Source organism: Homo sapiens, chromosome 20, assembly GCF_000001405.40.
Source record: "Homo sapiens chromosome 20, GRCh38.p14 Primary Assembly".
Lineage (NCBI taxonomy): Eukaryota > Metazoa > Chordata > Mammalia > Primates > Hominidae > Homo > Homo sapiens.
Window position 1 is genome coordinate 50,585,758 of NC_000020.11, and position 23,054 is coordinate 50,608,811.

Here is a 23,054-nt window from a genome sequence, read left to right on the forward strand (position 1 = left end):
CTCGCCACTCACCTCCTGCCATGCAGTCCAGTTCCTAACAGGCCTCAGACCAGTACCGGTCTGTGGCCTGGGGGTTGAGGACCCCTGCTCTAGGCTGGTACTGCTGATGCTTAAAAAGAGAGGGTTTGCCAGAAATCAGATGGGACAAAAGGGCAAAGGCCGTGCCACAGAGTGCCCATATAGGGGAGAGCACGCCTGGAGCCTTCGAGAGCATGCAGAGAAGCCTGGAGACTGCATTTACCGGAGCTGCTGCCTGAGGCCACCCTCCAAGTGTCCCCACAGCGCACCACAAGACCACAGGAGTGACCTCCTCACTGGCAGGTATTTGGGGAAACAACTGCTGTCTACTCTTTTGGGTAAAAAGTGAAACACCAATAGTTTAATTGAAATTTCAGAAAATTGAACATATGAACAAGGCAAATAAATACTAAGTAAGTTAAAAACACAAAATATGTCCAGGAAGTATCGATGAGAATGTTCAAGTTAAAGTTCTCCAATGCCATTGCTACAGCAACCTCAAACCCTAGGTTCTCTCTGCACTATTAACACAGACATCTCAGGACATGGTTTGCTTTTTTTTAAGACTTAAATAGGAAACTAATTTTTCTTTCTTTAAAGCAATTGCGTTCTTCAGTGAACTCTTTCTTTAGGCCAGTTGATGGCTTCTTAGCAGTTTATTGACGAGATCCTAGGGTAGCTTCCGAAGCTGGGTTGATTGATTGCATTTGGGTGCGGATGGCCAAAGTGAGTGGCCCTACTGCCTGTGCTGCTCAGGGCTCCTGGGCTGATGTGGTGGCTTCTTCCCTTTGTGCTGCTGAACATAGGGAAAGTGAGGTTCACAGTCCACCATCCACCAGCCGCCGTCTGTGAGCTCCACCAGCACTCGCAGCAAGTCAGTCGGGCTGAGAGTGTGGTTGTAGAAACCCTGGCTTTGTGCCTTCCCACCTTCCCCAGCTCACCAAGGTGACACCTGGCTGCTGCTGAAATGGCCTGAGCAGTCTTGCATTAGCAGGGCCAGCCACCTGCCAGCCTGCTGCATCCCCAGTGCCTCTTGACGCAGAAGTGCCGAGCAGCTGACCGGCAGCGAGGCCTGGAGTTCTACACACTTGCCTTGGAGCCTTTTATTTAGGGCCTCAACTTGCCTGGCCTTGGCCCTTTTGTAGGTGGCCACCTAGTTTGGCTCAGCTCTGCATCTCGGGGAAGGTCACACAGACCCTCAGCCAGAAGTTGAGCGCTCTGTTGAGGCCGTGCAGCCCCTGGAATGCTGTACCTTTGCCTTGCTTTTTTCTGCCTCTGTACAAAAGACCAGCCCATGCCCTGGGGCTGGGTCAATGGCCGGAGTCTCAGGTAGAGCTCTGGGCAGCTCACACTCCTGGAGGAGTGCACAGCACCATTACCCAGAGTGCAGGCTATGTCCAGGCTGGGCAGCAGCAAAAAAAACGATGTGAGATTTGTGCTCATCAGCCAGGATTTTTTAAAATATTGTGATTTCAACATCTGCCTCCTGGCAAAAGACTTCTCTTTGTTCTGAGCAGAGCTTGTCCATCTTCTCAAAAGCTAACCGTCCTTTTTCACCTGAAATAGCAAAGGGACCTGTCAGCGGGTTGGATCCTGCCTTGGCACTTCCAACTCTCCTGGGCCAGGGTGGCCCTAGTGCTTAGTGACTGTGGGTCTCAGTGGTCTCTGCAAAGCGGCAGGGGAGGGAGTATGTGCGGGAGCCCCCACCTGGTGACTCACATGGCCTGGGGGCCTTGTCTTTACCTCTAGGATGTTCCGCTGAATGGGAACCCTGCCTTGCCTCTGGCTTCTATCCCAAAGGTCTAAGAAGACAGCGAACACTCCCTGCCACCCCAGCCATGGAGGAGGCCTGCCTTGGCAGGATGCTACAAAGGGTGGAGGTCGGCTCTGTGCCAGGGCTGCTAACGGTGCCCATCCCAGGTGCCCCAGAGTTGTTCTGCCTGCTGGGAGAGCTGGGTGTGGCCTCTCGCAGATTCTAAGGGCCCCAGGCACCCCGCTGCGCTGCACAGTTTGTGCCACTTTTTACCGAACGACAGTGTGGTTTCCCGGGCTGCCGCCCGCACGGCCTCCAGGTCAGACTGGCACAGGCTGGCAGTCTGGTCGATGCTTTCAATGCCCTGTTCGAGATTAGGAGAAAAAGAACCCTTTAGGGGGCCTTCTCAACAGCAGGTAGAGTCCACTTAGTGGCCCTGCAGGGCCAGTCCTAGCATGGTCTCTGGGGCCTCAGCCCCTTCCTTTTCTCCAGGCTTCCAGGTTTTTTAGGTGGCCTCAGGTTCATGAGAGGCACCTCTGGACTCTGGAAGCGTCTCGCCTCTTCAGCCCTTACACCCGCTAGGGAGCCAGGCTGTTAGCAGAACTCGTCATCCTGGATGCCTGCTGAAAGGCTAGAATTGAAAAGGAGACCTGCTGCTTTCTGGACCTTCCTGCCTCCCTCACGCTCTCCTTGCCCTACTCTCCAGGACAGCCTGTGCCAGTACTTCGCCCAACTCAGGCACATGCCCCCTGGCTGCTCCTGCAGGCCAAGGACCGGCATGCGCTGCAGCGCCCTCTACTGGGCACCTGGCCCTCGCTGGTTTTCTGATCCTAACCAGCTTCTCCTCTTAGAATTTCCTGCTGATCCATCCCAGAATGAATGGGAGTTCAATCTGTACTGAATTATCTTTCATCTAGCAATTGTGCAATTCCAAATGCAGGTGAGGTTGAGGGAAAGCGGGCATCCCCTCACATCCATGGGATCTATGTGTGGGTTGTATCAAGAGTCTCAAAAATGCTCATATTCTCCGGTCCTAGAATTGGGTCTAGCCTAAGGAAATAATTCAGAACTCCATGTTTTTTTAAAGCTTTATGCACAAACATGATCATAAGACATGATTTATGATAAAAATTGGATGAAGTAAACTTTCCTATGAAAGCAGCTGAGTAGGTTAAATTAAGGTATACACTTGATAGCCCCTTCATAAAGAATTCTCAAGTGAAAAAAAAAAAAAAAAAAAGAAAAAAAACACCACAAATAAAGAATTCTAGGCCGGGCGCGGTGGCTCATGCCTGTAATCCCAGCACTTTGGGAGGCCGAGGCGGGCAGATCACGAGGTCAGGAGATCGAGACCATCCTGGCTAACACAGGTAAAACCCCATCTCTACTAAAAATACAAAAAAATTAGCCGGGCGTGGTGGTGGGCGCCTGTAGTCCCAGTTGCTGGGGAGGCTGAGGCAGGAGAATGGTGTGAACCCAGAAGGCAGAGCTTGCAGTGAGCCGAGATCGCGCCACTGCACTCCAGCCTGGGTGACAGAACAAGACTCCATCTCAAGAAAAAAAAAAAAAAAAAAAAAAAAAAAAAGCTAAAGTGCTGCCAGTCTAACACAAAATGTTCTTATTTTGTTGACTGTTTTTAAACTATGTTTGGATCAACAATTTTAAATGCTCACACACACCCACAAACTTTTAAAAGAAGCATACCAGAATGTCAACCATTGTTTCTGCTACATTCTAGGATGATGGATAACTTTCTTTTCTATCTCTGTATTTTGTAACTTTTTTTTTTTTTTTTTTAAGATGGAGTCTTGCTCTGTCACCCAGGCTGCAGTGCAGTGGCACGATCTCGGCTCACTGCAACCTCCACCTCCCGGGTTCAAGTCCCGAGTAGCTGGGACTACAGGCATGTGCCACCACGCCTAGCTAATTTTGTGTGTGTGTATTATTAGTAGAGATGGAGTTTCGCCATGTTGGCCAGGCTGGTTTCAAACTCCTGACCTCAGGTGATCTGCCTGCCTTGGCCTCCCAAAGTGCTGAGATTACAGGCGTGAGCCATCACGCCCAGCCCCAGTGGAATCATTTTGAAGTTAACTAACCTTAACCCTAACCACAAGCAGGCTTTTCTATCAGCCACTAATGGGGAAACGTCAGGCTCACCTTGAGGTGTTTGAGCGCTAGGCATGCGGCCTGCTGGAGCCTTGCGTCGTTCTCTGCCAGGGCGTTGGTGTAGAACAGCAAAGCCTGGGGAGAGTAAGGAGGCTGTGAATGGAGGGGTAAGCAGAAGTGGAGTCCATGGTTCCGGGTCCATCAGCCACCAGGTGCCGACAGTAAGGCACGCTGTGCCCATCTTTCTCTAAACAACGTTCAGGACACGATCGGTCCATCTTTGGGCCCTGTGTACACAGTCACAAGATCTATACTGTGGTGTTTAATTTATCCCTAAAAACAGATGCCAGGGCTAATACAATGAAGAAAGCTATTTTTGTCTAATAATATTCCGGAAGTGCATTCTGAAACTGCTGTCTATAAAATGCTGAATCAGAGAAATCAGATGCCCAGCTCAGAACAACAGAAGAACTGATCATCCCATGTGCGTTGCCCTCTTCAGCTGAAAACGGGCAAGGCTGCTGCCTTGGGCCAGAGGGAAACCTGCCTATTCCCCTCAGCCCTCCTGTCCAATCCCAGCGGTGACCCTGCCCTCTTCGGTCTCACGACCATGGCCACATCAGTTCATGTCTTTGGGCCTAACTTGACTCAGCTGAAAACAAAGCTGGCACTTGCTTCATGTGTTATTGTAGGGTTTGTCAGAAAGCACACAGGGTTATGCCCGGCCCGCAGTGGAGTCCAGCGTCTGCGGCTGCAAAGGGAAACCCAGGAGTGGGTTTGCCCTCACTCAGTCGAGTGGCTGCACCTTCAACTGCACGGGTGGGGCGATGGAGGGGCCCAGGTGTAGAGTTGGCTCCAGGGACCTGGGCCCAGAGCCAAAAGAGAATGGCCGCCTTTCCATCTGCAGGTGGCTCTCCAAAGTGTCTGCTGCTTTGGGAAGACAGACTGGGAGTAGGATCGGGTCCTCCCGCTCCTCCTACACAGGGCTCTGGTGAAGGCTGTGAGGCCACATCGGTGTGGAAATGTCACACTGCCCACTGCCTCTAACCCCAGGGTCCCAGGTCATGGCAGCCTACTCCTTCCTCAGCACCCTCATCTGAGGCCAAGCAATCTGTCACTGGGTTGGCCCCCACCTCAGTGTTTCCTACTCTCTAAAGTCTGTCACATGAAGATGAAGGCCCTTTTTTTTTTTTTTTTTGAGACAGAGTCTCACTTCGTTGCCCAGCCTGGGGTGCAGTAGCACAATCTCGGCTCCCTGCAGCCTCTGCTTCCCATGGAGGCCTTGTTTATATACCCCCATACCCAAAAAACAAAATACACCTGACTTCAGTGGATCCTTGAAGCCAACTACTAGTTTTCAGGAACTACAGAAGACAGAGAAATACATTAAACTACCGTTAAACTTCCTGCAAGCAGCAAAGTCTAGATAGTCTAGGTCAACCTGGGATCGATCAAATTAATTGCAAGCAGAGAAAGAAACGGGGAAAAAAACCTTTAGATTGATTGGAAGCCATCAGCCAATCACAATGTGTGTCCTTATGTAGATACTATTTTAACAAAAAATAAAACAGGATGCTTGAGGCTTGGAAATTTGAACATAAGATATATGATATAAAGGAATTGATAGTTAATTTTTTAGATAAGATAATGGTGTTAGAGTTGTGATTTTTGAAAGAATTCTTAACCTTTTGACACATATAGTTAACTATTTAAGGTCAAATAGGATGCCTCAGGTTGCTTCAAAGTGATACAGGGGAGTGGAGGGGAAAGGGGCAGGATTGGCCATGGGTTGATGGTGGTTGGGCTTGGGTTATGGGTGCAGGTGGATTCATTATATTGCTCTGTCTACTTTTGCAAGTTCAAAAGTCTCCAAATAAAGAGTTAAAAACAACCACAAAGTAGGCGGATGGGCTCCAAGAAGGGCTATTGGCAATGGAACTGGAGATTTCCTCTCTAGTCTGGAGCTGAGACCATCAGTGTAGACTATGCCCTTGATGTCACCCTTCCTGAACCCCTCAGGGTGTGGCGCCTTAAACGTACAGTAGTTACAGGCAAAGAGTGAAAAAGCAGAGAGGTCCACTCTCTTGGTTTTCAAATGGACTGAACACAGTGACCCATTACCAGGTAGCCATGAATATTAATTGAAAGTAAATAAGGATGACTATCAAAACACTAAGAAAGGCTGGGCGCAGTGGCTCACGCCTGTAATCCCAGCACTTTGGGAAGCCAAGGCAGGCGGATCGCAGGGTCAGGAGTTTGAGACCAGCCTGGCCAACATGGTGAAACCCTGTATCTACTAAAATTACAAAAATTAGCTGGGTATGGTGGTGGGCGCCTGTAATCCCAGCTACTCAGGAGGCTGAGGCAGGAGAATTGCTTGAACCCAGGAGGTGGAGGTTGCAAGATCGTGGCACTGGACTCCAGCCTGGGCAACAGAGCAGAACTCTGTCTAAACAGACAGACAAAAAACGCACTAAGAAAAACATTCAGCGTGCAAGTGACATCTCAGAGGCCTAACAGATGTGTTGCTTTGGAAGCAGCAAGGTGCATTCATGTGTGTTAGATCGTAGCCCAGGTCCCTCCATCAAAATAGCTCACAGCTACTGCAGCCCCTGGCACTCACTTCTTTGTACTTTTCCATGAGAACACCAGCTTACCTATGCCCACACATCTGTGGCCAGGGTCTGCCACCTGCCCTGGACAACGTACCTTTTCCCGGAAGCTTCTGTTCCTGACTGCACCAGCCAGGCGAGCGCTGGCCGCCCTGCACACCCTCGGAGTGCCGTCCAGCTGGAGCAGCGCCCAGGCTCTTAAGGTCTGGGGCAGAGGCTGGAGCTGGCCCAGCCGCTTCCCCTGCAGCTTCCGGACCACCTTGGCCTGTCCCGCACAGTGAAGCTCCTCGATGAGTGTCACTAGAAGACAGGAAAGAGGTGGGCCCAGGTCCCCTGAATGGGAGTTTGGCAGGACAGCTGCAAGTTTGCTTGGCTGCTGCCAGTAGCCACAGAGGAACAAATCCCAGACCCACCGGGATGATCACCAAGGCCCAGCCTGGACTAATTTCACAGGGAGCTCCTGGAATCTCCAGGAAGGCCTTTTAACAAGGGGTCAAATATGCTCCATAAATTAATAAAACCACAGCCCACACTTCCAGGGACTCTGGCCAGCCAAGATCACCCTCCTACCCAGCTCTGACCTCTGTTCCGTGCTTTTTAAAGCTGACTTCCCTTGGAGCTAATATCAGCCCCCATCGGCTGAACGCAGAATCTCATTAAATCGGGGTTCCCAAAAGAACAGTTGGCGGGGATGGATGTAGTGGTTCTGAATTATAACCTGAGAAACTGCATGTGACAGGGCTCCGTGGATATTCCTCTGCTATGACAGCCACCCACCCCAGTCTTACCTTCCTTGGTGAGCTGGGTGAAGTGCTTCTCCAGGTCAGAGACGCTCTGCCTCTGCAGGTAGCTGTGAAACTGGAACCAGGTAATGATCTGTTCTTCTGGGAGCCCAGCTCCGGGGAGCAGCCCACCACAGCTGACCACCTGCTCCAGGAGCCTGCGGCACGCTGGCCAAAGGGGAGAGTACATCAGGAGAAACTGAGACCTCGACCCTCCACGCTTCTCAGCTGGGAGTAGCCTGGTCAGCTAAAAGGCTTTCTGGGCCGGGCGCAGTGGCTCGCACCTGTAACCCCAGCACTTTGGGAGGCCAAGGTGGGCAGATCACCTGAGGTCAGGAGTTCGAGACCAGCCTGACCAACATGGTGAAACCCCATCTCTACTAAAAATACAAAATTAGCTGGGTGTGGTGGTGCCTGCCTGTTTCCCAGCAACTCTGGAGGCTGAGGCAGGAGAATCGCTTGAACCCGGGAGGTGGAGGTTGTAGTGAGCCAAGATTGCGCCACTGCATTCCAGTCTGGGCAACCATGAGTGAAACCCCATCTCAAAAAAAAAAAGGGTTTCTGATGGCACGAGGGCAGGTGTCCCTCACTGCATTCCCTGTGCTGTAGGGGAGGAGTGTGCCCAGCTAGAGTCAGGACTGTGACTCCAACTCACCCTGAGTCAGACCGTGTTGGGTTCATCCCCATGCCCTGGGCCCCACACCACACCTGGATCAAAATCCCGGAGGCAGGGCCTGGGAATATGCATGTCAACAAGCAGTCCAGGTGGTGCTTGGAACATGACTGTCACCTTTCACTTGCTCCACAGAGAAAGGCAAATTCTGGGGAAGAACGCAGTCCAGCCAGCATTTCTAGATACCCTCGTGGGCCCCTGCCTGCCTCCCTTCCCATAAGGTTCATTCTTTACCCGTCAGGCTCTGGTGGGAGGCATGGAATCTGTCCCCAGAAAAATGCTCTGGCGGCCGGGCGCAGTGGCTCATGCCTGTAATCCCAGCACTTTGGGAGGCCGAGGCGGGCGAATCACAAGGTCAGGAGTTCGAGACCAGCCTGGCCAATATGGCGAAACCCCGTCTCTACTAAAAATACAAAAAAAGAAAATTAGCCAAGCGTGGTGGTGCACACCTGTAATCCCAGCTACTCGGGAGGCTGAGGCAGAAGAATCGCTTGAACCCGGGAGGTAGAGGTTGCAGTGAGCCATGATTGTGCCACAGCACTATAGCCTGGGCGACAGAGTGAGACTCCATCTCAAAAAAAAAAAAAAAAAAAAATGCACCGGCCCACCAAGTTTGCACGCAGCTTCAGGGCTCCACAGACTGCTCAGAAGGCCCCACGTGGAGGCCCCTTCTCGCCCGGTGAAAGGGCGGTGACTCGCACTGAAGCTGAGAAAGCTCCTCCGTCCGATGGCATGAAGACACAGAGGTGAAGACAGGGCTGAAATGAGGCCAGCTGTGGCCACCCTGAAGGCCCTGGAGACTCAATACAGCCTTTCTGTGGGAGGGGACGACAGGACAGAAGGGAACCCACCTATTTCCAGCTGTCCTGGGTACTTCCCTCTGACTCTGTGCTGGAAGGTTTTCTTGAGCTGGTTCAGCAGCGTCGTGGCAGGGCAGGACAGGACCCTGCCAGGCCCTGTGCACCCTCTCCACAGCTTCAGGCACCCCTTCGTCCGCGAGGCCTGTGGGATGACTGAAAGCCCCAGTTCAGAAACCTGAATGGTGACTCGGGGAGAGCACATGACAAGGACCCGAAAGGTTTCCCTCCACTAGGACCTGAGGGGGTAGGGAGGAGGGGACGGTGTGGCTTGATGCGAGGTCCCTTCCCTGCATTCCCATGTGACACGTGAGCAACTTTGGCTCTAAGCATCTTACCAGGGCCACCACCTGCAGTCCCCACAACAACCTGGGAGGGGCTGCTGTCACCAGCCTCTCCTTACAGACAAGGAACCTGGCCTTCTGAGGGGAGGTCCCACGGGGCAGAGGCACAGCTGGGATCACAGCTACTGTTTGACGGCACATTCTGCACCTTGAATGTGGCCTGGGGTTACCTCACTGAACCCCGTGCAGTGCCCTCCTCCTATGCAGATAGGGAAGCAGAGGCTCAGAGATGTGAATCATTTGCCTAGAGTCACACAGCTGACTGAAGAGTGTGCTGCAACTCCAGGACTTGTCTCCCTTACCTCCCCACAAAGAGTGTGTATCTCTGAGCCCAGCCCAGCCACAGCCTCCACTCTGGGCCCCGATTAACTCTGGCTATTAGGAAGGCAGAAGAGGCTCCCCGAGCTTTGATCCCGTCCCCGTGCCGCTCACATAGGCAGCCCCTGGGTGGCAGGCAGCTACTTACTCTCTTCAATGGATGTTGCCTTGCCGACCTTCTCAAAGTCAAGGACAGAAAGTGTCTCCAGAACGTGCTTTTGCTGTGCCACTTCTTCCAGGAGGCATTCCTGGACCAGCCTTGATAAATTAGGGGAGGCCAGTTTCTGGGAAGCAGCCCAGATGCTCCAGATTAGCATGGAACATGCCCACCGAGGTCAGCTGTTACGGCTGTGGCTCCCACCTGCTTGTGCCCATCTCTTCTGTCCCGGGGGCAGCTCCCTGACTGTCATTTGGGGATTCCCCTTTCACCAAGGTGGCTGAGCTAATGGGATGCAGGCTGGGCTGCCAGGGACCACCTTTGCCCCCAGAAGGAGGACCAACCTGCCTGAAAGTGAAGCCAACCCACATTGCAAAGCAGAACTGAGAGAGACCTAGTCCTGATAGCATTTGAACCCGTGCATCCAGCCGAGCCTGAAGCCTACCTCTGAGGCTTTCAGTACCATGAGCCGATAAATTTTCCTGTTGGCTGAGCCAGTTTGCATTAGGGTTCTGGCACCTATAAATGAGAGTCACCACCAAAGCCTTTGGTTTAGGGCTTGGCCTGTGTAAGAGCCACACGAGTATTCACCCAGACCCTGGTCTGCCTCTCTTCCACTGGGGAATAGCTTCAGTCTCACGGGCTTCCAGGATGCAGGTCTGTCACCCCTTCATGCTTCCCACCACCTTCAAGATGAGCCTTTGCAAAGAGGACTCCAAACCCCTGTCTGCCCCTCCCTGACAAGTCCCCTAGCCCAGCCACCTGCAGCAGAGCTTTGCAGACTTGGAGGTGTACCATCAGCAGCACGTCCAGCTCTGGGGCACCGGCTGTGAGTTCCCTGGATGACGCTTTCAGTGATGACGGTGGGGGCAGGGGCCGGTCCTTTCTGAGTTGAATTGAGAACTGGGTGACCATTCCAGTTAGCAGTTCAGCTCCCTCTGAGGGTGGGGGAACCCTCCCTTCCCAGCGAGCCCCAGGTCAGGAGGCCCACTCCAGGTCCCAGGAAGTTCAACTGAAGAGGAAGGGGAAAGGAACAAAGGGTGGCAGCAACTCGAAACAGAGCTGGGAGGTGTGGCCAAGGGCCTGGGGAAGGCAGGGCGGGCAGTCGTCTTCCAGGATGTCTCGTGGAGGTAGAAGAGAATTCCAACTCATCCCAGCTCTGTGACGCTGGACAAGTCTGCCTCCCCAAGGCTCAGGTGACTCATCTATCAAGGGAGGCAGGAGCCCCACACTCAAGGCCGTGAGGGGTGCATGAAATACGGTGGGCAAGAGCGCCTCACACCAAGTCCACTCTGTGGTAGAGGCTAGACCTGCTGCCCGACCCACTCAGCCACTCAGGAAGGGTGGAAGCAAGTGTGGCACGAAACACCGCACTCGTCCGTGGGATTGTGAGAGGCGAGGAGAAGGAATTGAGCCTCTGCTCTTCCATGTGGTGAGATGCGGATGCAGAAGCCCTCGGGGGCTGGGGCAGGTGAGGCTGCGTAGCCTCGAGGGAAGCTGTCATGAGAGGTGTGGGCCCTGTGGTGGGACAGAGGGAACAGCACTGGATACTGCTGCACCTTGGTTAGGGGCTAAGAGCTTTTTTTTTCTTTTTCTTTTTCTTTTTTTGAGACAGAGTCTTACTTTCGCCCAGGCTGAAATGTAGTGGTGCCATCTTGGCTCACTGCAACCTCCGCCTCCCGGGTCCGAGTGATTCTCCTGCCTCAGCCTCCTGAGTAGCTGAGATTACAGGCTCTTGCCACCATGCCCAGCTAATTTTTGTATTTTTAGTAGAGACGGGGTTTCATCATGTTGGCCAGGCTGGTCTTGAACTCCTGACCTCAGGTAATCCGCCTGCCTCGGCCTCCCAAAGTGTTGGGATTACAGGCGTGAGCCACTGTGCCTGGCCTCAAAGAACTTCTACTATATACTTGGTGATTATTTTTAAGGTTTAAAAAATAATACTAAAAGCTGGTTCCTTGGAGCAGAAGGCTCAGGGGCAGGCTGGGGTGATCTCACCCACTTCGTGGTCTCTGAGGACCGGCTCTGAGGCAAGTGGGGGATGTGCGGGGATGGCATGGGGAAGGGTGCACGATAGAGTGACAAGAGCTGAGCCAAGGACAGTGGGAGAAACAGACGGGGAGGCTGGCAGGAAACGTGGAGCTCGGGTCACCCGGTGGGAGTGGTGGCCACTGGGTCACTGCTGGAAGGAGGTGCACTCACCGGAGACCCTGGGAGCCCCCAAACAGGGACAGCTCATCCAGGGCGAAGTCGGCATTGAGGAAGGCGAAGCTCTCCAGGATGCACTCCATCAGGCTCTCGGCCGAGGTGTGCTCCTGCCGTGCTCTGCAGGGCTGTGGACGAAGTGGCCAGACCTGAGGGCAACACCGGGCCCCACCCACCCGACTGGGACACTGGCCAGGGGCCTCACGGCAGACTTGGGCAATGTCCCGGTCCCAAGCCCCAATCCCACACACCGTCCCCCAGCAGAAGCCCAGCCGCTGGCCCAAGGCGTGGCACTGGGCGTGTCACCCCCCAAAGTCCCTCCTGAATGGCCTGTGACAAGGTAGGAGCAGAATCTTGAGGGGGACAGATCTGAAAACCCTCCCCTGTATCTCAGACACCCACGGGGACAAGGCCAATGGCAGGAGTGAGTGAGCTGCCCCAGCGGGGACCAGGGAGGCAGGAGCGCAGGTGCCTCCCCTAAGAGGGGGCCACGCTCATAGATCGCCCAGTTCTAAGAAAACCCTAAAACATGGATATTTATGGGAAACTGCCCAGCTTTGAAATACCAACAACAAATTTCAAAGTATTTTAAATACATGGTGTAGGTCAGGCAAACGCTTCTTCACGAGGCTCAGAGGCCTGTGGGCTCCAGGTTCCTCCTCCCTGTTGGGTTTCTCTCCCCAACAGATTAAGGGAGAGTGTTGGGGCCACCAACCCGCCACTGGTCAAGTCACCAGAGCCTCCAGTGCCAGCTCCCTCCCTGGAGATTTCTGTCTTGTCCCCAACTCGTGGCTGGCTCTGGGGCTGGTTCCTGCCCCCGTTCCCAGCACACCCCACCCAGGCCTTGTGTCCAACACAAACTGCAGCCAAGGCACAGCCCAAGCAGAAGCCATAAAACCAAACCAGGATCCTAACTGCGGAGCCAAAGAGAAAATCTTGAGGACGAAGGGAATAACAAGGCTAGTTGCAGAGATCACATTTTCCAATACAAAAATATAGGCATACATGTGTATGTAAGTGTGTATCAATACACACATGCATGTAGACTGCTGATTCTCAATAGTCAAGGTAGTTATGTTCTAGAGGCCAAGGCGGGCAGATCACTTGAGGTCAGGAGTTCAAGACCAGCCTGGCCAACATGATGAAACTGCATCTCTACTAAAAATACAAAAATTAGCCGGGTGTGGTGGCACAGACCTGTAGCCTCAGCTACTCAGGAGGCTGAGGCAGGAGAATTGCTTGACCCGGGGAGGCGGAGGTTGCAGTGAGCCAAGATTGCACCACTGCGCTCCAGCCTGAGCGACAGAGCAAGACTCCATCTCAGAAAAAAAAAAAAAAAGGAGGGGGTTATGTTCTATAAAATCACAGCAAAAAAACTGAATCAGCAAAAGCTGAACCATTGCTCCTAAGGGAGTTACTGGGTTAGGTTCCTGTGAACCTCTGGTCACAGCAGTTTTATCAACTCAGCAATGCAGAACTTTGTATGTGTCTTTTGGTTTAAAGACACCTTATTTAATAGCTATTGTTGGCTGGGTGTGGTGGCTCACACCTGTAATCCCAGCACTCTGGGAGGCCGAGGCAGGTGGATCACCTGATGTCCGGAGTTCAAGACCAGCCTAGCCAACATAGTGAAACCCTGTCTCTACTAAAAATACAAAAATTAGCCGGGCATGATGGTACGTGCCTGTAACCCCAGGTACTAGGGAGGCTGAGGCAAGAGAATCACTTGAACCCAGGAGGTGGAGGTTGCAGTAAGCTGAGATCGTGCCACTGCACTCCAGCCTGGACAACAGAGTGAGACTCCGTCTCCAAAAAAAAAGGAAAAAAAAAAGCTATTTTTGATTCATTAACATTGAACTCAACAGCCAGCATCGCTACAACTCATGCCTGAAGGAAGCTCATCTAACACACATTTTCTCTGTAAGGTATTTCACAGGCTTCCTGGACTGAGGAACACCAGCCGGCACTGAAGCTCTGGGCTTGGGAGGCATTTAAACAGTGAAACTGTCAACAAAAAGCACAAAAACTTGAAAAACATGGCATTAAATAGACCATGAGGACACTTGTTTACCATTTGGGCATTGAAACAGGAAGGCAAAGCATTGCCTCGCTTGACCTCAGCTGGGAATGTGTGCTTTGAGCAGCTCAGATTTTCTATCACTCTGCCCGGCCCCAAAACCCACTTTGGAATCGCCTCGAGTATTGATTTGGGGGTTAGAAATAAATTTTAGCAAGTAAGTAAATTCCAAAATGCAGAATCCACAAATAATGAGGATAAATCATGTATATGTATGTGTGTATGTATGCGCTCACACACACACTTTTTTTTCTTTTGAGAGAGAGAGTCTCGCTCTGTTGCCCAGGCTGGAGTGCATTGGTGCGATCTTGGCTCACTGTAACCTCCGCCTCCCGGGTTCAAGTGATTCTCCTGCCTCAGCCTCCCAAGTAGCTGGGACTACAGGTGCACGCTACCATGCTCAGCTAATTCTTTTGTCTTTTTAGTAGAAACGGGGTTTTGCCATGTTGGCCAGGCTGCTGTTGAACTCGTAGCCTCAAGCAATCCACCTGCCTTGGCCTCCCAAAGTGCTGGGATTACAGATGTGAGCCACTGCGCCCACCATCATATACACATAGATTTGCATAAATGTGTGTGTGTGTAATTTCTCTCCAGAAAGTCAAACCAAAAACCACGGTCTGTAATCAATTTGCATTGTTCTGACTTCGTTTGCCAAAAAAAGAAAAGTTCCTTAAAGACGTTTAAAATGATTACATTATTGCGGCATTAACATTTTTATGTAAATTGGGTGTAATTTTTCAAAATACAAGTATGTGACAAATGTGCATGCCGACTCAAATTAGTCTACAAAAAAAGGCTGTTAAAAAGTACAAAAAAGGTACAGGCACGATGGCTCACGCCTGTAATCCCAACGCTTCGGGAGGCTGAGGCACGAGGATTGCATGAGTCCAGGAGTTTGAGACCAGCCTGGGCAACAAAGTGAGAACTCGTCTCTATAAAAAATAAACAAAATTAGCCAGGCATGGTGATGTGTGCCTGTAGCCTCAACTAGTCAGGAGGCTGAGGGGGGAGGATCGTGTGATCCCAGGAGGCAGAGGTTGCAGTGAGCCAAGATTGCACCACTGAACTCCAGCCTGGGCAACAGAGTGAGACCCTGTCTCCAGAAAAATGAAAAACATGAAGTACCAAAAAGTTGACATTATTTCTTAAATTTTTTTCTGGAAATTTTCAGGCAGGTCCTTTTTAACAACCATAGTAGTGGTAAACGGAACATATTTTAAAGTTATGGATGTAAAATGAGAAATTAAACTTTTTTTCCCCTATGTTGATTTGTCCTGTTGGAGGTGTGGTTGGCGATAAAATGTGTTTGAAGAGAGCTGTTAACTATTTCAGTGCCAAAGTGTATCTTACACAAAAGAGGGGAAAACAGAAAACAGCAAAATCAGAGAAGTGCACAGCCAGTCTGAGGGCATAAGGACCGAGGGAACACAGAGCAGGAAGGGATGGGCCTGCCGGGGCCAGGTGGGAGTTGCCATTTAAAAGAGGGTGTCCAGGCCAGGTGCAGTGGCTCACGCCTGTAATCCCGGCACTTTGGGAGGCTGAGGCAGGCGGATCACTTGAGGTCAGGAGTTTGAGACCAGCCTGGCCAACATGGCGAAACCCCATCTCTACTAAAAATACAAAAATTAGCCAGGCGTGGTGGTGTGCACCTGTAATCCCAGCTACTCGGGACGCTGAGGCAGGAGAAATGCTTGAACCTGGGAGGAGGAGGTTGCAGTGAGCCGAGATGGCGCCGCTACAACTCTGTTGCCAGCCTGGGCAACAGAGCGAGACTTCATCTCAAAAAATAAATACATAAAAAATAAAAGAGCGTGTTCAGGGAAGGACACCCTTAAGTTAATTGATGTATTAGTAGGTACTAGTGGTATACATTTTTTTGATGTACATTCAAATTTGTGTAAACACGAGAGGAGAATGTAATAATTTGCCTAGGTCAGCACCTCTGAAAGCCACCTGCCACCTAAGCCCTCCTGTGAACTGAGAACAGCCCCGGGGTATGAGCCCTGTGGAGAAGGTTCAGTGCGGGGTGCGTGGATGAGGCAAACAGGGAACTGTGTGGGGCCTTCCATGGAGCCAGCTGCGACCCTGACAACACTCCAAGTTTGGGTTTGTAGCCACAAGCCACAGCCCCGCCCACCCAGGTCAGAAGGTGCGAGATGGGGCCAGTTTCTGGCTGGATGTGCATGAGCCTATCTACTGTGAACTCTTAAAATCTTCCTGAGCCCCATGAGGGCTGTTGTTATCCCCGCTTGCCAGATGAGGAAACCAAGGCCCAGAGAGACACGGCCCACCCAGGTCACGCAGAGGTGAGGCCAGGATGTCGGCCCAGGCTGCGTGGCCCCAGAGCCCCCGACTCCCAGTCATCATGCCATCAGCAAAGCAGGGCCACCGCCCGGGGCGGGGTGGCCATACCTTCAGCCGGTCCCGGAAGCCGAGGACCTGGTACTCCAGCTCCCGGAGCTGGGGCTGGGTGGAGTCCGTGGGCCTCAGCAACTCCAGGACCTCCTGCAGAGGCCCCTCGAGGGCCACGCCAGGCCCGTCCTCTCTGTCCCCGGTTGCCCCTTCCTCGTGGCCGTTCTGGCTACTCGAGGCTGTGCCGCTGTGGAACAGGGAGCCCTGTGGCAGGCTGGGGCTCTCCCCTCCTAAGTTCCTCCAGCCAGGCTGCTCTGCAAACGGGCCTCCAGAGAGGTGGGCCATCTCTGGCAGGAGACCTGGGGGCAGGGGGTCCTCCCGAGCCTCCTCTTCAATGGAGGCGTGGGGACCGAAGGTCAAGGGCAGGAAGCCCACATCTGAGGTGGACGCCGACGTGCTGGTCTCCGTGTCTCGGGGGTCCTCAGAGCTGAAGGAGTCCATCTCAGGCAGCTCCTGACTCTGGCTTCTTAGGCTGGGACCCCGGAGGTCGCTGTCAGACAGGTAGCTGAGGATGGAGGTGGCCCTTGGGCCACCCAGCAGCAAGGCCTGCTGTGTTGGCTGCTGTAGGACAGACTGGAGAGGGGACACGGGAGCGGCCTCACCAGCCACCCCAGGGACCACAGCAAGTCCCCCAGAGGGGCTTCCCCTGACAGACACCCGCTGTGCATGCCCATGTTCTCAGGATGACTGAGGCCTGCCGAGGTGACCAGCATCCCAGAGGTGCAGAAAAAACCCTGTCCCCTCTCTGCACTTATCCCCCATCCCGCCTCCAACTCACTCCCCCCAACCTCAACAGCCTCCTGGCTATTGCTCATGCCCTGTGGGCTGGGCCCCACGTTCCTGCCTCAGGGCCTTTGCACTGACTGTGCTCTCGTCAGAACACTCTTCCCCATGTGCCTTCATGGCTTGTGCCCTCGCCTCCTCAGGACCTTACATAGGTGTCACCTCTCCTGAGAACCCTGTCCTGGACAGCCTTTTTTAAGTGGCAATTTCTACCTGGCCCCAGTGGGCCCCTTCCCTTCCTGCTGTCTCCCACAGTCCTTATGCCCCTGGGGCTGGCTGTGCACTTCTCGGATTTTGATATCATCTGTTTCCCCTGTAGAATTTCAGCTCCCTGAGGGCACAGTCTTTGCCTGGCCTGGAGCAGAGGCTGGCATATAGTTTCGGTTTTTGTTTTGTTTTGTTTTGAAATAGTCTCGCTCTGTTGCCCAGGCTGGAGTGCAGTGGCACTATCTTGGCTCACTACAACCTTCATCTCCTGGGCTCAAGCAATTCTCCTGCCTCAGCCTCCTGAGTAGCTGGGATTACAGTGGCACTCCATGACGCCTGGCTAATTTTTGTATTTTTAGTAGAGACGGGGTTTCACCATGTTGGCCAGGCTGGTCTCAAACTCCTGACCTCAGGTGATCCACCCGCCTCGGCCTCTCAAAGTACTGGGATTACAGGCATGAGCCACTGCACCCAGCCTAGTTTTGGATGAATGAAGTGAATGAATGAATGAAGGGCCTGACAAACACACCATAGAAACAGCAGCAGCTGTCATTAAGTATTCTGAGGTTGCCGGCCCTATTCCAGGGCCTTCCCATTACCCTCACCACACCCCATGGGGGTGGCACTGCCCTAACCTCGGAGAGGTCCTTAGGCCACACGGGTGGTGAGTACAGTGCCACAGTGTGAATCTGGGTACACGGACACGAACCCTTACCTCTCATCAGCTGAACCAATGATAATGGTTGATGTTCATTAACTCAGTTAACTCTCACAGTAATCCCATAAGGGCAGTGCTGTTATTCTCACTTCTCTGATACAGAAATTGAAGTCCAGAGAGGGCTGGGCACGGTGGCTCATGCCTGTAATCCCAGCACTTTGGGAGGCCGAGGCGGGTGGATCACCTGACGTCAGGAGTTCAAGACCAGCCTGGCTAACATGGTGAAACCCCGTCTCTACTAAAAATACGAAAATTAGCCAGATGTGGTGGCGTGTGCCTGTAATCCCAGCTACTCGGGAGGCTGAGGCAGGAGAATCGCTTGAACCTGGGAGGAGGTGGAGGTTGCAGTGAGCTGACATTGCGTGACTGCACTCCAGCCTGGGAGACAAGAGCGAAACTCCGTCTCAAAAAAAAAAAACAAAGAAAAAAAAAGGCGTATACACTTGCTGGTAGATGGATTGCTGTCTCTGGAAGAATATGGAAGAAACTGATGACAGGAGTTGGTATTAAGGAGGGGACCCTGATCCATGGAGATCAACAGGAAAGATGTTTTACTGGGCACTCTGTCAAGTACTACTACTAGAAACGTATATATTAAGGCCAAGGCCATGACTGGGGTGCTAGAACCATCCAGAGAGCCCACTGCAGATGTCCTGAAGAACCAGCCAAGCCCAGAACCCAGGCTAGGTTGGAGGCTGGCAGCAGAGGAAGAAAGTGCACAGGAAAACACCCAGGATCGCCTCAAACGGAAGCTGAGCCCGAGGCTTGCCATGTCTGGGAGGGCCAGACTGCTCAGCCCAGCTCCTGCGTGCTGCCCCCATCCCAGGGTGACCACAGCGGCCCTGCCCCGGGAAGGCTCACTCACCAGGTAGTATCTCTCCCGGAAGCTGGGGGTGCTCGGGGGTGTCCAGTTGTACAAGGAGCCCTTCCTGCTGCCCATAGAAAACTTGCCCGTGGGGCTGGGTGACACCAGGAAGCTCTCAGTATCAAACGGGCTGGAGGAGAGAACAGAAGGTCAGGATGCCATCGGCACCCAGAGGCCATTTCAGGCCCAGACGGCCCACAGGGCTCTTAGGTTATGCAGGTAGATGGTCTTCATCTTACAATACAATAGCATGGATGGTGTGTGAGGAGCTCTGCTCTAAACTGTTGCTTGTTTTTGAGACAGGGTCTTGCTGTGATGCCCAGGTTGGAATGCAGTGGTGCCACCACAGCTCACTGCATCCTTGAACTCCTGGGTTCAAGCGATCCTCCTGCCTCAGCCTCCTGTGTAGCTATGACCACAGGCATGTACCACCATGCTGGACTAATTTTTAAATTTATTTTTATTTTTTGTAAAGACAGCGTCTTGCCATGTTGCCCAGGCTGGTCTCGAACTTCTGGGCTCAAGCAATCCTCCTGCCTCAGCCTCCCAAAGTGCTGGGATTACAGGCCATGAGCCACTGAGCCCAGCCTCTACTAAACTCTTTACACAAATCCTTATTTCCACCCCCAAGACAACCCTCTGTGGCCTGGAGAATTATTTACAGGGGAGGAAAGGAAGGCTCTGAGAGATGAGTGACTTGCTTAGGGCAGTGTCACAACCAACCACGCGAGACGGAACTGAATTCACACACAGATTTTCTCTGACCCCAAAGCCTTAAAGATCACTAAGAGTGATGCTTACTCTTCAGACATCACTGTACTTAATGGATTTAAGAGGAAATGGGCTGGGTGCTGTGGCTCACACCTGTAATCCCAACACTTCGGGAAGCCAAGGCAGGCAGATGACTTGAGCTCAGGAGTTCGAGACCAGCCTCCATAACCTGGCAAAACCCCCGTCTCTACAAAAAATGAATACATTAGCTGGGCTAATGTGGTGACCAACAGACACTTGTAGTCCCAGCTACTCAGGAGGCAGAGGTGGAAGGAGCACCTGAGCCTGGGAGGTGGAGGCTGCAGTGAGCCGAGATCATGCCACTGCTCTCCAGTCTGGGGCAACAGAGCAAGACTCTATCTCAAAAAAAAAGAAAAAAAAAAAAAGCAAAATAAAACAGGAAATGGAGGCTTGGGCCTCCAAGTCCAGGGCCTTGCCCATGGTCACAGGTGCAGCCTAGGAACTCCAGGTTACATGACCTCTACCCCTTTAGAAACCTTTCTCAAGGCTGGGCGTGGTGGCTCATGCCTGTAATCCCAGCACTTTGGGAGGCCAAGGTGGGTGGATCGCCTGAGGTCAGGAGTTCGAGACCAGCCTGGCCAACATGGCGAAACCCCATCTCTCCTAAAAACATAAAAAAATTAGCTGGGCATGGTGGCAGGCACCTGTGATCCCAGCTACTTGAGAGGCTGAGGCTGGGGAATCGCTTAAATCTGGGAGGCAGATGTTGCAGTGAGCCGAGATTGCGCCATTGCACTCCAGCCTGGGCGACAGAGCGAGACTCTGTCTCAAAAAGAAAAAAAGAAACCTTTCTCAGACTCTGACCGCCCTGAGGGCCCTTAGCCAGATGGTGAGGGACAGTGACTGTGAGCAGGAGAGCAGGATCTGGAGGCAGGAAACCTCAGGTCAATTCATGCTAAATCAAGGAAAGACACCAAGGTCTGAAGGGACAGGGAATCTAAGGCCAATTAACGCAATCTTCCTAAAGCTAACCCAAAAGGAAAAACCCCGTCTCCCCACACTGAGTAGTAAAGGATCAAAGGCAACGCTCCCTACAGCCCTCCTGCCTCCAACCATGGCTCAGATGGAAAGGGAGGGTGTATGGATGGGCCGCTGGCGAAACAGGGACCATCCCTCTATCTGCATAGGGCGCCATCCACCTCAGCCTCTAACCACAGACCAAATCCTTTATCCAGAAAAGGGGCAGCCCATAGGAACCTCAAACAGGGTACTTAAAGCCCAGAAACTTTGAAACCATGCCCTTGAGCCACATGCTCGGGCCCACTCCCACCCTGTGGAGTGCTTTCTTGCCTTTTTTTTTTTTCTTTTTCTCTGAGACTGTCTTGCTCTGTCACCCAGGCTGGAGTGCGGTGGCGCCATCTTGGCTCACTGCAGCCTCCGCCTCCCCGGTTCAAGCGATTCTCCTGCCTCAGCCTCCCAAGTAGCTGAAACTATAGGCCCGTGCCACCACGCCTGGCTAATTTTTGTGTTTTTAGTAGAGATGGGGTTTCGCCTTGTTGGCCAGGCTGGTCTCGAACTCCTGACCTCGGGTGATCTGCCCACCTACGCCTCTCAAAGTGCTGGGATTATAGGTGTGAGCCACCGCGCCCAACCTGCTTTCTTGCTTTAATAAAGTCCTGCTGCTTCATTCCTGCGTTTCATTCCCCTGCTCCTTTTCTGCATTTTGTTCAAGTCTTTGTTCAAAATGCCAGGGACTTGGACAACTCATTGTCAAGACCCTCCACCAGTAACAACTGGACACCCCCAGTTAGAGGCCCCTTTGAGAAGCTCAGCCGATGAGCAGGGGACACTCGGTTCAGACCCCTTGTCTGTAAAAGGGGTGCGCTTACAGAAGAACCCCCATGTGGAACATGCACAGGGAAGGGTGGGAATCCAGGCGAGCGCATGGGAGCACCGAGGCAAGTGATGCTCAGCCTGGCCCGTGATGCTCAGCCTGGCCTGTGTCCAGCCTTGCACTCGGAGTAGGTAGGTCCCCATAGATCCATTTGCCTCGAAGAAACTTGCTTATAATTATTTGCACAAAGGCCTGGCTCGTGGCACCTGGGCCTGGCCTGACCAGAAGGCCTAGAGCTCAGAGGCTCTGCAAGTGCCCACTTCTCTGCCCAGGGTGTCTGCAGACCCGCAGGCACCCTGGGTCCTAGGCTTGGATGGCACTGAGCTGCCCGCCACCCTGTACACTTCAGGGGCCCCTGGGCGAGGGGTATTCTCAGCCCTACCAGACAGGTGAGGACCCCGAGGGTGCAGGTGGTCGCTCAACAGAATTCACCCAGCTCACGAGGGAGAGGGCAGCAGCTTTGTGACCCCCAGCTCGGACACCCACCCTAGGGAGAGAGGAGAGAGACCAGCCCCGACTGGCCAGAGCAAGCACAGAGCAGAGGAGTGTCCTCAGCCCTCCCTTCTGCTGCCTCTGCGCTGAGGAGGAGGAAAGGAACACCCTGGAAATGCAAGGCTTCCTTAGAACAGAGAGCTCTGGAGCCCTCCACGCTCATGGGCATGCAGTCCAGGGAGTGATCTCATGGACATGGGCTTCATGGGTCTGCAGCCGAGAGGGGGACGCAGGTGACCGCTCAGCCCCAGGCCAAGGGGGCAGCCAGGGTCGGCCAGGAATGAGGGGGTGGGAGCAGCAAGGAGGGCCTTCCTGGAGAGGTGAGCCTCCTCCAAGGAGCCAAGCCCGGGAGGCCCCGGAAAGTGTCCCCCCAACCTTCCCTGTGGCTTTAATAGTCAGGGGTTCAGAAGCAAGAAGGGAAGCAAAACCAGAAAGGCAGGCAGGGGCTACAGAGAAGTTCTAGGCCTCGACCTGACTGAGGGGTGGGAGTGAGGGACAGATGAGGACCCGTGAGGGCAGGGACACCCTTGGCAGAGGCTGGTGCAGGAACCCAGGGCCAGAGTGTGGCCAGGCCACCAGGGGCAGCCAGCCAGGCCTCCGCTCTCCCCAGGCTGGACGGGACTCACTTCCACTGCACCTCCAGCTGCAGCTTGATGGTACCCAACTCCGTGATGTCCACCACGATGACCTGCGGCCGCGTCGTGAAGAAGTCGGCGATGTCACACGTCACTGCACCCACAGCCAGCGAGCCCAGGCCCCGCAACTCCGTCACCTGGGGGTGGGGGCTGGAGGGTGGTGTCTGAGCCGAACACCCAGGCACCCCAGCCCTGCCCCCGGGCCCCATCCCCACCTTGATGTCCAGGTTCTCATGCAGCGTGGGGATGAAGGCCTTCTCCTCTTCGTCCCAGGTCTGGCTGTCATCTGACTCGATCCGACCCTTGAGCTTCCAACGCTGGCGGCCCAGACGCATGAGCACCTGTGAACCAGCCCGAGAGGGGCCGCGTCAGCCCAGGTGGGTGTCCCCTTGCTGTCCGCCCAGGGCCCTCCCT

General features: G+C 53.3%; 1 protein-coding gene and 1 non-coding gene across 15 annotated transcripts in view, besides 5 other annotated features; one reads left to right on the top strand and one right to left on the bottom strand.

Moving 5' to 3' along the window:
* Window positions 29-122, top strand: MIR645 (microRNA 645). Its single transcript, NR_030375.1, has one exon. It is a non-coding gene; the product is annotated as a microRNA 645 (primary transcript).
* Window positions 351-23,054, bottom strand: part of RIPOR3 (RIPOR family member 3) — a 105,435-nt gene continuing 82,731 nt past the window's right edge. For 7 of the 14 annotated variants that reach the window (XM_006723713.5, NM_001290268.2, XM_011528579.3 and 4 more), the window contains 13 exons: window positions 22,856-22,981; window positions 22,632-22,777; window positions 18,888-19,017; window positions 16,315-16,887; window positions 11,823-11,953; window positions 10,383-10,506; window positions 9,612-9,747; window positions 8,796-8,957; window positions 7,278-7,439; window positions 6,587-6,789; window positions 3,929-4,012; window positions 2,045-2,135; window positions 351-1,575 (listed from right to left, as the gene is read on the bottom strand). In XM_006723713.5, the coding sequence (XP_006723776.1) occupies window positions 1,475-1,575; window positions 2,045-2,135; window positions 3,929-4,012; window positions 6,587-6,789; window positions 7,278-7,439; window positions 8,796-8,957; window positions 9,612-9,747; window positions 10,383-10,506; window positions 11,823-11,953; window positions 16,315-16,887; window positions 18,888-19,017; window positions 22,632-22,777; window positions 22,856-22,981 (2,169 nt within the window). In that variant the 3' untranslated portion in view covers window positions 351-1,474. Of the gene's footprint in view, window positions 1,576-2,044; window positions 2,136-3,928; window positions 4,013-6,586; window positions 6,790-7,277; window positions 7,440-8,795; window positions 8,958-9,006; window positions 9,345-9,611; window positions 9,748-9,784; window positions 10,140-10,382; window positions 10,507-10,542; window positions 10,633-11,822; window positions 11,954-16,314; window positions 16,888-18,887; window positions 19,018-21,895; window positions 22,601-22,631; window positions 22,778-22,855; window positions 22,982-23,054 lie in introns of those variants that run through there. The other 7 variants (NR_110890.2, XM_011528585.3, XR_936505.3 and 4 more) reach the window with 7 other exon arrangements.
* Window positions 564-1,077: an enhancer, noted in NCBI's record as "H3K27ac-H3K4me1 hESC enhancer chr20:49202858-49203371 (GRCh37/hg19 assembly coordinates)". NCBI's record gives its function as "activates a minimal SCP1, AML or CMV promoter by ChIP-STARR-seq in primed H9 embryonic stem cells {active_cell/tissue: H9 hESC(primed)}" and the evidence as "EXISTENCE:reporter gene assay evidence [ECO:0000049][PMID:30033119]".
* Window positions 1,078-1,590: an enhancer, noted in NCBI's record as "H3K27ac-H3K4me1 hESC enhancer chr20:49203372-49203884 (GRCh37/hg19 assembly coordinates)". NCBI's record gives its function as "activates a minimal SCP1, AML or CMV promoter by ChIP-STARR-seq in primed H9 embryonic stem cells {active_cell/tissue: H9 hESC(primed)}" and the evidence as "EXISTENCE:reporter gene assay evidence [ECO:0000049][PMID:30033119]".
* Window positions 2,375-2,669: a silencer, noted in NCBI's record as "tiled region #3633; K562 Repressive non-DNase unmatched - State 12:CtcfO". NCBI's record gives its function as "represses a minimal TATA promoter and a strong SV40 promoter by Sharpr-MPRA in K562 cells {active_cell/tissue: K562}" and the evidence as "EXISTENCE:reporter gene assay evidence [ECO:0000049][PMID:27701403]".
* Window positions 2,407-2,466: an enhancer, noted in NCBI's record as "active region_18093". NCBI's record gives its function as "activates an Ori minimal core promoter by ATAC-STARR-seq in GM12878 lymphoblastoid cells {active_cell/tissue: GM12878}" and the evidence as "EXISTENCE:reporter gene assay evidence [ECO:0000049][PMID:35858748]".
* Window positions 16,197-16,697: an enhancer, noted in NCBI's record as "H3K4me1 hESC enhancer chr20:49218491-49218991 (GRCh37/hg19 assembly coordinates)". NCBI's record gives its function as "activates a minimal SCP1, AML or CMV promoter by ChIP-STARR-seq in naive H9 embryonic stem cells {active_cell/tissue: H9 hESC(naive)}" and the evidence as "EXISTENCE:reporter gene assay evidence [ECO:0000049][PMID:30033119]".